The sequence below is a fragment of the Homo sapiens genome, chromosome 19, assembly GCF_000001405.40.
Source record: "Homo sapiens chromosome 19, GRCh38.p14 Primary Assembly".
In the NCBI taxonomy this organism is placed as follows: domain Eukaryota; kingdom Metazoa; phylum Chordata; class Mammalia; order Primates; family Hominidae; genus Homo; species Homo sapiens.
Genome location: NC_000019.10, coordinates 54,945,780 through 54,961,564, shown reverse-complemented (window position 1 = coordinate 54,961,564; position 15,785 = coordinate 54,945,780). Strand labels below are relative to the sequence as shown.

Genomic DNA, 15,785 nt, shown 5'->3' with positions numbered 1-15,785 from the left:
ACGCCCAGCCACAGTACCTTTTTTAAAAAATTTGTATTTTCTTTTATTTATTTATTTATTTATTTAGAGATGAAGTCTCTCTGTTGTTGCCCAGGCTGGAGTGCAGTGGCATGATCTTGGCTCACTGCAACCTCTGCCTCCCGGGTTCAAGTGATTCTCCTGCCCTAGCTGGGATTATAGGCTCCCGCCACCATACCAAGCTAATTTTGTATTTTTAGTAGACACGGGGTTTCACCACCTTGGCCGGGCTGGTCTTGGACTCCTGACCTCGGGTGATCCACCTGCTTTGGCCTCCCAAAGTGCTGGAATTACAGGCGTGAGACACTGTGCCTGGCCCACTCCCCCTCTTTTTTAACTAGAGACTGGGTCTCACTTTGTACACCGGGCCGGTCTTGAACTCCTGGGCTCCATGGCCCTCCCGCCTTGGCCTCCCAAAGTACTGAGATTACAGGTGTGAGCCACTATGCCTGGCCCATTATTTTATATTTTAATATAAATATTTACATTTATAAATTTCCATCAGTGCAACAAACACATTTCAACAGCAATTTCACCACCACTCAGTTCTAGCATTTTTAAAAATGCCCTTTGTTATTTCTTCTTTGACCTTGGAATTATATAGAATATTTTTTTAAGACTCAAATGCATGGGATTAAGAAATTATCTTTTGTGCTGGGCATGGTGGCTCACGCCTGTAATCCCAGCACTTTGGGAGGCCGAGGCAAGCGGATCACGAGGTCAGGAGATCGAGACCATCCTGGCTAACACGGTGAAACCCCGTCTCTACTAAAAATTAAAAAAATTAGCTGGGCACGGTGGCGGGTGCCTGTAGTCCCAGCTACTTGGGAGGCTGAGGCAGGAGAATGGCGTGAATCCGGGAGGCGGAGCTTGCAGTGAGCCACCATCACACCACTGCACTCCAGCCTAGGTGACAGAGCAAGACTCCATCTCAAAAAATAAAAATAAAAATAAAAATAAAACTATCTTTTGTTACAATTCTTCTAACTTTTGTTCTATTGAGGAAATTGAGACTGAAATGTTAAGTAGCAACCCCAAGGTCACATAACTCATGGGTGGCTGGGGAGAAGGATGGATTTAAACAGACTTCTGGTTGAGCGCGGTGGCTTAAGGCTGTAATCCCAGCACTTTGGGAGGCTGAGATGGGTGGATCACTTGAGGTCAGGAGCTCGAGACTAGCCTGGCCAACATGGTGAAATCCCGTCTCTACTAAAAATACAAAAGTTAGCTGGGTGTGGCGGCAGGCACCTGTAATCCCAGCTACCCAGGAGGCTGAGGGAGGAGAATTGCTTGAACCCGGGAAGCAGAGGTTGCAGTGAGCTGAGATCTCGCCACTGCACTCCAGCCTGGGTGATAGAGGGAGACAACATCTCAAAAAACAAAACGAAAGAAACAAACAAACAAAAAAAACAAGAAACACCAGACTTCTGTTGGAATAAGTGAGTTTGGTTCGGGTAGATGGAACCTGCAAAGGGGTTTGGAGATCCAAAAGAGGAACTACGTGGTTAGAACAGAGTATCGGATGAACTGATAAGAAACCACAATTCAAAAACAATTCAACAAAATGCCCAGGTCTGTGAAAGCCTGTCTACACCAGGCCTTGGGTCTCTGTGTACATTGCCTGCTTCTGACAAGGCTCTGCAGCCGGGAGTCGGCTCCCAGGGTTGCATGGCTGGGAACAACAGAAGCTCAGGAGCGGACCTAAAACGGAGCAGTTGGGTAAAATGAAGCTGTCTCCATTTACTTTCTACAGACAGACATCCATGAGAGGATGAGGAGGTGTGCTTGCCTCCTGGTCAAGCACTAATTTTTTTTTCCAAGCACTAATTTTAATTTTTTTATTTTTTGTAGAAACAGGGTCTCAGAGTATTTGCTTTGGCAGCACATACACTAAAATTGGAAATGGGGGTCTTGCTATGTTGCCCAGGCTGGACTTGAGCTCCTGGGCTCAAGGGATCCTCCCACCTCAACCTCCTAAAGTGCTATCCACTCTGACCTTGTGATCCACCTGCCTCAGCCTCCCAAAGTGCTGGTGAGGGAAGAGAGAAACCGTCTCATATTGTTTTATATTGTTTTATACTCAGTACTTGTTTTAGAAAAAAAACAAGGAGGCCGGGCACGGTGGCTCACGCCTGTAATCCCAGCACTTTGGGAGGCCAAGGCGGGTGGATCACAAGGTCAGGAGTTTGAGACCAGCCTGGCCAACATGGTGAAACCCCGTCTCTATTAAAAATACAAAAATTAGCCGGGCATGGTGGCGTGCGCCTGTAATCCCAGCTACTCGGAAGGATGAGGCAGCAGAATTGCTTGAATCCAGGAGGCGGAGCTTGCAGTGAGCCGAGATTGTGCCACTGCACTCCAGCCTTAGCGACAGAGCAAGACTCTGTCTCAAAAAAAAAAAAAAAGAAAAAGAAAAAAACAAGGAAGTGAAACCAAAGGCAGGTAGCCCGGCGCCAGGCACCAGACCCAAAACCAGACCCGAAACCAGGCCTGGGCCTGCCTGGCGTAAACCTAGTAGATAAAAATCAACTCATGACTTAGAACCCGATGTTATCCATAGATTCCAGGCATTGTATAGAAGAACACTGTGAAACTCCCTGCCCTATTCTTTCTCTCTGACCAGCAGTGCACGAAACCCCTGTTATGTATCCCCTAGATTGCTCAATCATGACCCTTTCATGCGCAGTCTTTAGTGTTGTGAGCCCTTAAAAGGGACAGAAACTGTGCACTCGAGGAGCTTGGATTTTAAGACAGTAGCTTGCCGATGCTCCCAGCTGAATAAAGCCCTTCCTTCTACAACTCGGTGTCTGAGAGGTTTTTGTCTGTGGCTCGTCCTGCTACACTGGGATTACAGGCGTGAGCCACTGTGCCTGGCCACTAGTTATTATTATTATTATTATTTGAGACAGAGTCTCACTCTGTCCCTTGGGCTGGAGTGCAGTGGCCTGATCTTGACTCACTGCAACCTTTGCCTCCCGGGTTCAAGCGATTCTCCTGCCTCAGCCTCCAGAGTAGCTGGGATTACAGGCATGCACCACTATGCCCAGCTAGCTAACTTTTTGTATTTTTAGTAGAGACAGGGTTTCACCATGTTGGCCAGGCTGGTCTTGAACTCCTGACCTTGTGATTCGCCCACCTCGGCGTCCCAAAGTGCTGGGATTAGAGGCGTGAGCCACTGCACCCGGCAATACTAGTTATTGTTAATGCTATTATTGTTACTGACATGTTCATTTTTACCTAGCCACTTTATTTTCCCACCTCTTTCTCCCTACTTCTCCTAAGTGTCAATGTTAGATAAGTCTGAAATTCTCTTTCCCTGTCCCTCTCTGTCTCTCTCTCCTTCTTTGTCTTTCTTTCACCTGAGACCCATAATCCTGGAGATAGCAAGTGCCTCAGGGAGAAAATCCCAAACCAAGCGATTCTCCTGCCCTAGCCTTCCAAGTAGCTGGGATTACAGGCTCCTGCCACCATACCAAGCTAATTTTGTATTTTTAGTAAAGACACGGTCTCACCACCTTGGCCAGGCTAGTCTCGGACTCCTGACCTCAGGTGATCCACCCACCTGGGCCTCCCAAAGTGCTGGAATTACAGGCGTGAGACACCGTGCCCGGCCCCCTCCCCATCTTTTTTAAATAGAGACTGGGTCTCACTTTGTACACCGGGCCAGTCTTGAACTCTTGGGCTCCATGGCCCTCCAGTGTGGAGGAGAGAAAATGGATTCCCTCCACCCTCCTAGGTTCTTTGGATGGGCTATGAATTACATTGACACAAAACAGTTTGACAGAAGAAAAACCAGATTCAATTATGTATGCACAGGAGTCCCACAAAAATGTGAGACTGGAGGAAGGGCCAGATGATTGAAGCTCATCTAGCTGCCTGAGCTACAGAAAGGAGTATAAGAGTGTAGGGTGCAGTGGCTCACGCCTGTGATCCCAGCAGTTTGGGAGGCCAAGGTGGGTGGATCACCTGAGGTCAGGAGTTTGAGACCAGCCTGGCCAACATGGTGAAACCCCATCTCTGCTAAAAATACAAAAATTAGCTGGTGTGGTGGTGTGTGCCTGTAATCCCAGCTACTCCGGAGGCTGAGGCAGGAGAATCACTTGAACCCGGGAGGAGGAAACTGCAGTGAGCTAAGATCGCACCATTGTACTCCAGCCTGGGCTTCAAAGGGAGACTCCATCTCAAAAAAAAAAAAAAAAAGAAGAAGAAGAAGAAAGGAGTAGGGGTGTCCGTCCCAGTGGCTCACGGTCTGTAATCTCAACACTTTGGGAACCGAAATGGGTGGATCACCTGACGTCGGGAGTTTGAGACTAGCCTGGACAACAGGGTGAAACCCAGTCTCCACTAAAAATACAAAAATTAGCCAGGTGTGGTGGTGTGCCCTGTAATCCCAGCTACTTGGGAGGCTGAGACAGGAGGATTACTTGAACCCGGGAGGTGGAGGTTGCAGTGGGCCAAGATCACGCCACTGCACTGCAGCCTGGGAGATAGAGGGAGACCCTGTCTCAAAATAAAATAAATAAATAAATAAATAAATACATACATACATAAATGAAAAGGCGTAGAGACTTGGAGCTTCTGGGGGTGGTGGAGGCAAATTAAGGTATGATAAAAGGGGGAAAAGTTGCTGGGTTCACGCCTGTAATTCCAGCACTTTGGGAGGCCAAGGCAGGTGGATCACCAGAGGACAGGAGTTCGAGACAAGCCTGGCCAACATGGTGAAACCCCGTTTCTACTAAAAATGCAAAAAATTAGAAGGCGTGGTGTTGGGTGTCAGTGATCCACCTGCCTCGGCCTCCCAAAGTGCTGATATTATAGGCGTGAGCCACTGCGCCCGGCCTTTTTTTTTTTTTGAGGGAGAGTCTTGCTCTGTCTCCCAGGCTGGAGTGCAAAGGCACAATCTCAGCTCACTGCAACCTCCGCCTCCCGGGTTCAAGTGATTCTCCTGCCTCAGCCTCCCGAGTAGCTGGTATTACAGGCACCTGCCACCGCGCCCAGCTAATTTTTGTATTTTTTTTTAGTAGAGATGGGGTTTTGCCATGTTCACCAGGGTGGTCTCAAAGTCCTGACCTCAAGTGATCCGCCTGCCTTGGCCTCCCAAAATCCTGGAATGACAGGCATGAACCACCATACCCAGTCCTGTTTTTCCTACTTTCACACTCAACACAGAATACTTCACCAAAAATGTATGTTTCTCCCCACCAACAACCAGTTCTCCAGCAGAGACCAGCTGGGTGTCCTCTCCTTTGATTTAGTTCTGACACTCCCTACCTGGGGACAGCATCAGATCCCAAAGGTTCAGGGCTGAGTCCCACAAGACTGACTGACTTCCTTCCTTCCTTCCTTGTCCCACAAGACTGACTTCCTTTCCCTCCTTCCCTTCCCTCCTTCCCTCCTTCCCTCCTTCCTTCCTTTCTCTCCCTCTGTTGCCCAGGCTGGAGTGCAGTTGCGAGATCATGGCTCACTGTAGCCATGACCTCCCAGTCTCAAGTGATCCTCCTGCCTTGGCCTCCTGAGTAGCTGGGACTACAGGCATGCACGATCACAGTTGGCTATTTATTTATTTATTTATTTATTTTTGAGACACAGTCTTGCTCTGTCATCCAGGCTGGAGTGCAGTCCTGTCATCTAGGCTGGAGTGCATTTTTGCAATACAAAAATTAGCCAGGCATGGGAGCGAATGTCTATAATCCCAGCTACTTGGGAGGCTGAGGCTCGACAATCCCTTGAACCCAGGAGGTTGAGGATCACAGCTCACTGCAACCTCAGTCTTGCTGTGTCGCCCAGGCTGAAGTGCAGTGGCACGATCTTGGCTCACTGCAACCTACGACTCCGGGATTCACGTCATTCTCCTGCCTCAGCCTCCCGAGTAGCTGGGACCACAGGCGCCCACGACCTCCTGGCTAACTTTTGTATTTTTTGTAGAGATGGGGTTTCGCCATGTTAGTCAGGCTGGTCTGACCTCAAATGATTCACCCACCTCAGCTTCCCAACATGCTGGGCTTACAGCCACTGTGCTCAGTCGAAATTCTGTATATTTGATCAAGAAGAGGTTTCATCATGTTGTCCAGGCTGGTCTGGAACTCTTGAACTCAAGCAATCCACCTACCTGGGCTGCCCAAAGTTCGGGGATTCCAGGCATGTGCCACCATGCCTGGCCCAAGGCTGCTCTTCCTAAAGAAGAAAATTATTCCAATGATTTTATTTATTTATTTTTGAGACGGAGTTTCACTCTTGTTGCCCAGGCTGGAGTGCAATGGCATGATCTTGGCTCACTGCAACCTCTGCCACCCGGGTTCAAGTGATTCTCCTGCCTCAGCCTCCTGAGTAGCTGGGATTACAGGCACGCACCACCACACCCAGCTAATTTTTTTGTATTTTAGTAGAGACGGGGTTTCTCCATGTTGGTCAGGCTGGTCTCAAACTTCGGACCTCAGGTGATCCGCCAGCCTTGGCCTCCCAAAGTGCTGGGATTGCAGGCGTGAGCCACCGCGCCCGGCCACCAATGATATTTTTTAAAAGCAAGTAAGGACGAGCTGGGCATGGTGGGTTCTTGAATCTCATACCAGAAAGAATTCAGGGCGAGACTATGGAGTAAAGTGGAAGCAAGCTTATTAGGAAAGTGAAGGAGTAAAAGAATAGCTACTCCATAGACAGCAGCCCATAGGGCTGCTAGTTGCCCTTATTTTTTTTGAGATGGAGTTTTGCTCTTGTCGCCCAGGCTGGAGTGCAGTGGCGTGATCTTGGCTCACTGAAACCTCTGCCTTGAATCACTTCAGTTCAAGTGATTCTCCTGCCTCAGCCTCCTGAGTAGCTGGGATTACAGGTGCCTGCCATCACGTCTGGCTAATTTTTGTATTTTTAGTAAGAGATGGGGTTTCACCATGTTGGCCAGGCTGATCTTGACCTCCTGAGCTCAGGTGATATGCCCGCCTCGGCCTCCCAAAGTGTTGGGATTACAGGCGTAAGCCACCACGTCCGGCCTCGGTTGCCCTTTTTTTTTTTTTTTTTTTTTTTTGAGACGGAGTCTCGCTCTTTCACCAGGCCAGAGTGCAGTGGCACTATCTCGGCTCACTGCAAGCTCCGCCTCCTGGGTTCAGGCCATTCTCCTGCCTCAGCCTCCCGAGTAGCTGGGACTACAGGCGCCCGCCACCGCACCCAGCTAATTAGTTGTATTTTTTTTTAGTAGAGATGGGATTTCACCGTGTTAGCCAGGATGGTCTCAATCTCCTGACCTCATGATCCACCCGCCTCGGCCTCCCAAAGTGCTGGGATTACAGGCGTGACCACCGCGCCCGGCCGGTTGCCCATTTTTATGGTTATTTCTATGGATATGCTAAACAAGGGGTGGATTATTCATGCCTCCCCTTTTTAGACAGCATAGGGTAACTTCCTGACATTGCCATGGCATTTGTAAACTGTCATGGGGCTGCTGGGAGTGGAGCGGTGAGGACAACCAGAGGTTACTCTCGTCACTATCTTGGTTTTGATGGAGTTTGACTGGATGCTTTATTTATTTTTATTTATTTTTTATTTTTTTGAGACGGAGTCTCGCTCTGTCACCCAGGCTGGAGTGCAGTGGCGCGATCTCCGCTCACTGCAAGCTCCATCACCCGGGTTCACGCCGTTCTCCTGCCTCAGCCTCCCGAGTAGCTGGGACTACAGGCGCCCGCCACCACGCCCAGCTAATTTTTTGTATTTTTTTTTTTTAGTAGAGATGGTTTCACCGTGTTAGCCAGGATGGTCTCAATCTCCTGACCGTGTGATCCACCCGCCTCAGCCCCCGAAAGTGCTGGGATTACAGGTGTGAGCCACCGCGCCCGGCCTGGCTGGATTCTTTATTGCTAAGGGAGGAGACCACCCCTCATATTGTCTTATGCCCAATTTCCACCTCCAAAGAAAGAAAAAGTAAAAACTAAAAGGCAGAAATGAAATCCACAAGCAGACAGCCCCGCGCCCCAGGAATGAAATCCACAAGCAGACAGCCCCGCGGCCCAGGAATGAAATCCACAAGCAGACAGCCCGGCGCCACACCCTGGGCCTGGTAGTTAAAGATTGACCCCTGACCTAATCGGTTATCTATAGATTACAGACATTGTATAGAAAAGCACTGTGAAAATCCCTATCCTGTTTTGTTTGGATCTGATTACCAGTGCATGCAGCCCCCAGTCACGTACCCCCTGCTTGCTCAGTCGATCACGACCCTCTCACGCACACCCCCTTAGAGTTGTGAGCCCTTAAAAGGGACAGGAATTGCTCACTTGGGGATCTCGGCTCTTGAGACGGGAGTCTTGCCGATGCCCCTGGCCGGATAAACCCCTTTCTTCTTTAACTCGGTGTCTGAGGAGTTTTGTCTGTGGCTGGTCCTGCTACATTGCTACCTGTGTTATCAGCAAGGTCCTTATGACCTGTATCTTGTGCTGACTTATCTCATCCTGTGACTTAGAATGCTTTTTTTTTTCTTTTTACTGCAACCTCCGCCTCCCCGGCTCAAGCGATTCTCCTGCCTCAGCCTCGCAAGTAGGTGGGATTACAGGCACGAGCCACCACGCCTGACTAATTTTTGTATTTTCAGTAGAGACGGGGTTTCACCGTGTTGGCCAGGCTGGTCTCAAACTCTACTTCGGGTAATCCACCCGCCTCGGCCTCCCAAAGTGCTGGGCCACCGTGCCTGTCATTTTTGTTTTTTTTGGAGAATGCCTTAACTGTCTGGGAATGCAGCCCGGTAGGTCTCAGCCTTATTTTAGTCAGCTCCTATTCAAGATGGAGTTGCCCTGGTTACACGCCTCTGACAGTAGGTCCGTTGCCCAATGCACGCTGTGAGTCAATTTGCCGGGTCACTGTGTTGCAGAAGAGAAGGAAGTTTAATCACAGGGCTGAGGAATGAGGAGATGGGAGGAAACCTCCAATCCATCTCCCCCAGAAGTTTGGGTCTAGGGTTTTTTTTTTTTTTGAGATGGAGTTTTGCTTTGTCACCCAGGCTGGAGTGCAGTGGCAGGATCTTTGCTCACTGCAACCTCCGCCTCCCAGGTTCAAGTAATTCTCTTGCCTCAGCCTCCTGAGTAGCTGGGGTTACAGGCACCCGCTACCACGCCCGACTAATTTTTTGTGTTTTTAGTAGAAACGGGGTTTCACTATGTTGGCCAGGCTGGTCTTGAACTCTTGACCTCAGGTGATTCACCTGCCTTGGCCTCCCAAAGTGCTGGAGTTACAGGTGTGAGCCTCTGCACCCGGCCGGGGCTAGGGTTTTTAAGTGTTTTGGTGTGGGCCAGAGTGTGGCCATGCTGACTGCTGGCGGAGACAGGGGCATGAAGACGCAGTGTTCTCATGCTGATCCCATTCCTCACTGGGGTCTTCAAACTGGTTAGTGTCAGCTATTTGGCTGGAATTCAAGGTCTGAAAAACATCTGAAACCATCCTTAAACAAAAGCCTTATAATTCTAATGTCCCAGAGTTTATCTGTAGGAACCGTGCAGATACAAATTTGTCTAATGGGGCCGGGCGCGGTGGCTCACGCCTGTAATCCCAGCACTTTGGGAGGCCTAGGCGGGAGGATCACGAGGTCAGGAGATCGAGACCATCCTGGCTAACATGGTGAAACCGCGTCTCTACTAAAAATACAAAAAAAATTAGCCAGGCATGGTTGCAGGCACCTGTAGTCCCAGCTATTCGGGAGGCTGAGGCAGGAGAATTGTGTGAACCCGGGAGGCGGAGCTTGCAGTGAGCAGAGATTGCGCCACTGCCCTCCAGCCTGGGCGACAGAGCGAGACTCCGTCTCAAAAAAAAAAAAAAATTCGTCTAATGACCCTGCTGTCAGAAATCCTATCTACAGCAATGATGAGGAGGCAAAAGTGCAGTGTCTAGAGCCACGTGATACACAGCAGCCAGGATGTGGGCCAGAGTGCAGCCTGATTCACATTTTTTCATTTTTATTTTTTTTACTAAAAGTGGGTTTTCATTTTTTGTTTTGTTTTTGTTTTTGTTTTTTGTTTTTTGAGATGGAGTCTCACTCTGTTGCACCCAGGCTGGAGTGCAGTCGTGCGACCTCGGCTCACTGCAACCTCTGCCTCTGCCTCCCGGGTTCAAACAATTCTGCCTCAGCCTCTCGAGTAGCTGGGATTACAGGCGTTGAACTACCATGCCCCGCTAATTTTTGTATTTTTGTAGAGACGCAGTTTCACCATGCTGGCTGGGCTGGTCTCAAACTCCTGACCTTAAGTGATCCATCTGCCTCAGCCTCCCAAAGTGCTGGGATTACAGGCCTGAGCCACTGTGCCTGGTCTACAAAGGATATTTTTGTGGGGAAAAGAAAGAGAGATCAGATTGTAACTGTGTCTGTGTAGAAAGAAGTAGACACAGGAGACTTCATTTTGTTCTGTACTAAGACAAATTCTTCTGCCTTGAGATGCTGTTAATCTATGACCTTACCCCCAACCCTGTGCTCTCTGAAACATGTGCTGTGTCCACTCAGGGTTAAATGGATTAAGGGCTGTGCAAGATGTGCTTTGTTAAACAAATGCTTGAAGGCAGCATGCTCCTTAAGAGTCATCACCACTCCCTAATCTCAAGTACCCAGGGACACAAACACTGCGGAAGGCCGCAGGGACCTCTGCCTAGGAAAGCCAGGTATTGTCCAGGGTTTCTCCCCATGTGATAGCCTGAAATATGGTCTCATGGGAAGGGAAAGACCTGACCGTCCCTCAGCCCGACACCAGTAAAGGGTCTGTGCTGAGGCGGATTAGTAAAAGAGGAAGGAACACCTCTTTGCAGTTGAGACAAGAGGAAGGCATCTGTCTCCTGCTCGTCCCTGGGCAATGGAATGTATGGGTGTAAACCCCGATTGTATATTCCATATACTGAGATAGGGGAAAACCGCCTTAGGGCTGGAGGTGGGACATGCGGGCAGCAATACTGCTCCGTAAGGCATTGAGATGTTTATGTGTATGCATATCTAAAGCACAGCACTTAGTTCTTTACCTTGTCTATGATGCAGAGACCTTTGTTAACGTGTTTATCTGCTGACCTTCCCTCCACTATTATCCTATGACCCTGCCACATCCCCCTCTCTGAGAAACACCCCAAAATGATCAATAAATACTAAGGGAACTCAGAAGCTGGCGGGATCCTCCATATGCTGAATGCTGGTCCCCTGGGTCCCCTTATTTCTTTCTCTATACTTTGTCTGTGTCTCTTTCTTTTCCAAGTCTCTCCTTCCACCTAACGAGAAATGCCCACAGGTGTGGAGGGGCAACCCGCCCTTTCATATTTTAAAGGATACAAATGAACAGCCAAGGAAGAGATGCGTAGGGGGAGGTTTAGAGGAGTCCGAAGTGCAGGAGCTTCTGTCCCTGTGGACCTGGGGTGCACCACAGTCCTGGCACACGAATGCACCCGGGTTCACCAACCAGGAAGCTCTTCTGAACTCTTTCCTGGTTTTTTTTTTTTTTGAGACAGTCTAACTCCGTCACCCAGGCTGGAGTGCAGTGGCGCTATCTCAGCTCACTGCAGCCTCTGTCTCCTGCGTTCAAGTGATTCTCATGCCTCAGCCTCCTGAGTAGCTGGGTCTACAGGTGCACTCCACCACGCCTGGCTAATTTTTTATTTTTTGTAGAGCCAGGGTCTTGCTATTTTGTCCAGACTGGCCTAGAATTCTTGGGCTCAAGCAATCCTCCCATCTAGGCCTCCCAAAGCGTTGGGATTACGGGCATGAGCCACAGGACACCCGGCCCAAACCCTTTTCTTTTGGGGTTTATGGAGGATTCCTTAGGTGGGCAATGCTGATCACATAGCTGGCAGTTCATAATCAATTCAACCTTCAGCCCCTCTCCCCTCCCTGGAGGCCACTTGGAGCCTGGGGCTGAAAGTTCCCAATGTCTAATCACTGACGGTTTCTTTGGCAGCCAGTCCCTCGCACTTGTGGGGTTATCTAGGGGCTTTCCAAAAGTCACCTCATTTACATAAACTCAGGTGTGGTTGCAGGGCCTGGGTATGTATAACAAGAGATACCTCTTTCATGTTTATCTCTCCATAGCTGCTCTAGGACTAAAGGCCAAATGTTTTAACAAAATATACTCTCTCTCTCTTTTTGTCAGCTAGAATATAATTTATTTTTATTGTTTTTATTTTCTTTTTCTTCAGAGAGGGAGTCTCGCCATATTGCCCAGGCTGGTCTTGAACTCCTGGACTCAGGCAGTCCTCCCGCCTCAGCCTCCCAAAGTGCTGGGATTACATTCATGAACCACTGCGCCTGGCCATCTTTTTTTTTTTTTTTTAAAGATGGAGTCTCTGTCGCCCAGGCTGGAGCGCAGTGGTGCAATCTCGGCTCACGGCAACCTCCAACTCCCAGGTTCAATCAATTCTTACGCCTCAGCCTCCTGAGTAGCTGGGATTACAGGTGCACACCACCATGCCTGGCTAATTCTTTATTTTTAGTAGCCAGGGGTTTTTTGCCATGTTGCCCAGGTTGGTCTCGAACTGCTGACCTCAGATGATCCACCTGCCTCAGCCTTCCAAAGTGCAGGGATTACAGGTGTGAGCCACCATGCCAGGCCTCCATAGTGCCTATTTCTATAGATGGCATGCTGCAACTGATATATACATCTTCATTTGTGGGACCATTTGCTTCCATTAAATTAACAGTTTAAACTACCAAAATTCTGTGCTGAATGCTTTCCACAACATACACTGTTTTATTTAAAAACAATTTTAGGCCAGGTGCGGTGGCTCATGCCTGTAATCACCTGACATCAGGAGTTTGAGACCAGCCTGACCAATATGGTGAAACCCTGTCTCTACTAAAAATACAAAAAATTAGTTGGGCATGGTGGCATGTGCCTGCAGTCCCAGCTACTTGGGAAGCTGAGGCATCAGAATTGCTTGAACCTGGAAGGCAGAGGTTGCAAGAATGGAGATTGCACCACTGCACTCCAGCCTGGGCCACAGAGCAAGACTCCATCCAAAAAAAAAAATTAAATATCAGTTATCTATTTATTTTTTTGAGACTGGGTCTCACTCTGTGGCCTAGGCTGGAGTGAGATGGCCAGTCACAGCTCACTGCAGCCTCAAACTCCTGAGCTCAGGTGATCCTCCCACCTCAGCCTCCTGAATAGCTGGGATTACAGGTGCAGCCCATCATGTATGGCTAATTTTTTTGTTTTTGTTTTTGAGACAGTCTTGCTCTTGTCACCCAGGCTGGAGTGCAATGGCGTGATCGTGCCTCACTCACCCTCCACCTCCCTAGTTCAAGTGATTGTCCTGTCTCAGCCTCCCGAGTAGCTGGGATTACAGGCACCTGCCACCACACCTGGCTAATTTTTTGTATGTTTAGTAGAGACAGAGTTTCACCACGTTGGCCAGTCTGGTCTCCAACTCCTGACCTCAGGTGATCCACCCGCCTCGGCTTCCCAAATTGCTGGGACTACAGGCATGAGCTACCACGCCCAGCCTATGCATGGCTAATTATTAAATATTTTTGAAGAGATGGCATCTTGCTATGTTGCCTAGGCTGGTATCAAACTCCTGGCCCCTAGGGATCCACTGGCCTAGGCCTCTCAGCCTGCTGGGATTTATAGGCAGGAGGCACCACAGTTGGCCACAAAGTAGACTTATTGTATTTGTAACTTAGGAAGTCACGGGAGTTTTTGTCCTCTTTTTTTTTAATTTTTATTTATTTTTGTTTAATTTTTTTTCTCTACAAGAGTTTTTAAAGCTGGGAGCCAGGTACCCTGCAAAACCCAAAATGTGTATTTCCTGTTCTGTCGCCTATCACACCTGGCCCGGGTGGTCTAGGAAGGGAATTGCACATTAATCTCACCTGGGGAGATTCAGCAAGCCGTAATTCTCCAAAGCCCACTGAAGCCCAATTACAGCCAAATCCCTGAGGATGGGGCCCAGGTGATGTCAAGGTGAGCCTGAGGTCAGTGGTTGGGAGCCACCCAATGTTAATCTCAGTGGGGCGGTTCCACCCTGGGCGGGAAAGCTGTCTCTCCACCTAGCGTACCAAGGGCCAGAGACCTCCCCTTTTTATCCGTTTCCTTTGCAGGAAACACAGGCTGGAAGCAAGACCTGACCTGAGGGAGGTGAGTGCTGGTTCTTGCATCGATTTCTTTGTCTTCTCGTTTAAGGGAGAAGAAGCTATTGGTTGAGTTTCCACCATAGCCCTTCCCAAGCCTTAATGGTTGGTGCGAGGATGCTGGAAGGATCTTTGATTTTTTTTTTTTTGAGACGGAGTCTCCCTCTGTCGCCCAGGCTGGAGTGCAGTGGCGTGATCTTGGTTCGCTGCAAACTCCGCCTCCTGGGTTCACCCGCCATTCTCCTGCCTCAGCCTCCTGAGTAGCTGGGACTACAGGCACGTGCCACCATGCCCAGCTAATTTTTGTATTTTTAGTAGAGACGGGGTCTCACCATGTTGGCCAGGCTGGTCTTGAACTCCTGACTTTAGGTAATCTGTCTGCCTCGGCCTCCCAAAGTGCTGGGATTCCAGGTGTGAGCCACCACGCCTGGCCTAATGTCTTAAGGACTTCTATTCAAATATAGTTTAGAGGAGTTCAGGAGATTGAGACTAGCCTGGGCAACATGGTAAAACTCTGTCATTACAAAAAAATATAAGGCCAGGCACAGTGGTTCATGCCTGTTATCCCAACACTTTGGGAGGCCGAGGCGGGTGGATCACTTGAGGCCAGAAGTTTGAGACCAGCCTGCCCAAAATGGTGAAACCCTGTCTCTACTAAAAACACAAAAATTAGCCAGGTGTGGTGGTGCATGCCTGTAATCCCAGTTACTTGGAAGGTTGAGGCAGGAGAATAGCTTAAACCTAGGAGGGGGAGGTTGCAATGAGCTGAGATCGCGCCACTGCACTCCAGCCTGGGAGACAGAGTGCGACTCCGTCTCAAAAAACAAAGAAGGCCAGACCTTGTGCTGTGTCCAAGCTACTTGTGGGGTGAGGTGGGAGGATCACCTGAGCCAGGAGGTGGGGGCTGCAATGAGGTGTGATTGAGCCACTGCACTCCAGCCTGGATGAGATGAAGACCCTGTTTAAAAAAAAAAAAAAGTAGGCTGGGCGCGGTGGCTCACGCCTGTAATCCCAGCACTTTCAGATCACCTGAGGCCGGGAGTTTGAGACCAGCCTGACCAACATGGAGAAACCCCATCTCTACTAAAAATACAAAATTAGCTGGGCGTGGTGGCACATGCCTGTAATCCCAGCTACTCGGGAGGCTGAGGCAGGAGAATCACTTGAACCCGGGAGGCGGAGGTTGCGGTGAGCTGAGATTGCGCCACTGCACTCCAGCCTGGGCAACCAGAGTGAAATGCTGCATCAAAAAAAAAAAAAAATGTAAATGGCCAGATGCGGTGGCTCACGCCTGTGATCCCAGCACTTTGGGAGGCCGAGGCGGGTGGATCAGCTGAGGTCAGGAGTTCGAGGCCAGCCTGGCCAACATAGAGAAACCCTGTCTCGGCCGGGCGCGGTGGCTCACGCCTGTAATCCCAGCACTATGGGAGGCCGAGGCGGGCGGATCACGAGGTCAGAAGATCGAGACCATCCTGGCTAACACGGTGAAACCCCATCTCTACTAAAAATACAAAAAAAATTAGCTGGGCATAGTGGCGGGCGCCTGTAGTCCCAGCTACTTGGGAGGCTGAGGCAGGAGAATGGCGTGAACCTGGGAGGCGGAGCTTGCAGTGAGCCCAGATCGCGCCACTGCACTCCAGCCTGGGTGACAGAGCAAGACTCCATCTCAGAAAAAAACAAGAAACCCTGTCTCTAC

The 15,785-nt window shown here is 49.5% G+C and overlaps 1 protein-coding gene across 4 annotated transcripts in view, besides 2 other annotated features; it reads left to right on the top strand.

Moving 5' to 3' along the window:
• NLRP7 (NLR family pyrin domain containing 7) overlaps window positions 1-15,785 on the top strand; it is a 42,729-nt gene that overhangs the window by 4,679 nt on the left and 22,265 nt on the right. For 3 of the 4 annotated variants that reach the window (NM_139176.4, NM_206828.4, NM_001127255.2), the window contains exon 1: window positions 14,035-14,096. The gene's annotated coding sequence lies outside the window, so the exon portion shown is untranslated. Of the gene's footprint in view, window positions 1-13,715; window positions 13,923-14,034; window positions 14,097-15,785 lie in introns of those variants that run through there. The other variant, NM_001405531.1, reaches the window with a different exon arrangement.
• Window positions 8,873-9,562: an enhancer, noted in NCBI's record as "H3K27ac-H3K4me1 hESC enhancer chr19:55463371-55464060 (GRCh37/hg19 assembly coordinates)". NCBI's record gives its function as "activates a minimal SCP1, AML or CMV promoter by ChIP-STARR-seq in primed H9 embryonic stem cells {active_cell/tissue: H9 hESC(primed)}" and the evidence as "EXISTENCE:reporter gene assay evidence [ECO:0000049][PMID:30033119]".
• Window positions 10,253-10,943: an enhancer, noted in NCBI's record as "NANOG-H3K27ac hESC enhancer chr19:55461990-55462680 (GRCh37/hg19 assembly coordinates)". NCBI's record gives its function as "activates a minimal SCP1, AML or CMV promoter by ChIP-STARR-seq in primed H9 embryonic stem cells {active_cell/tissue: H9 hESC(primed)}" and the evidence as "EXISTENCE:reporter gene assay evidence [ECO:0000049][PMID:30033119]".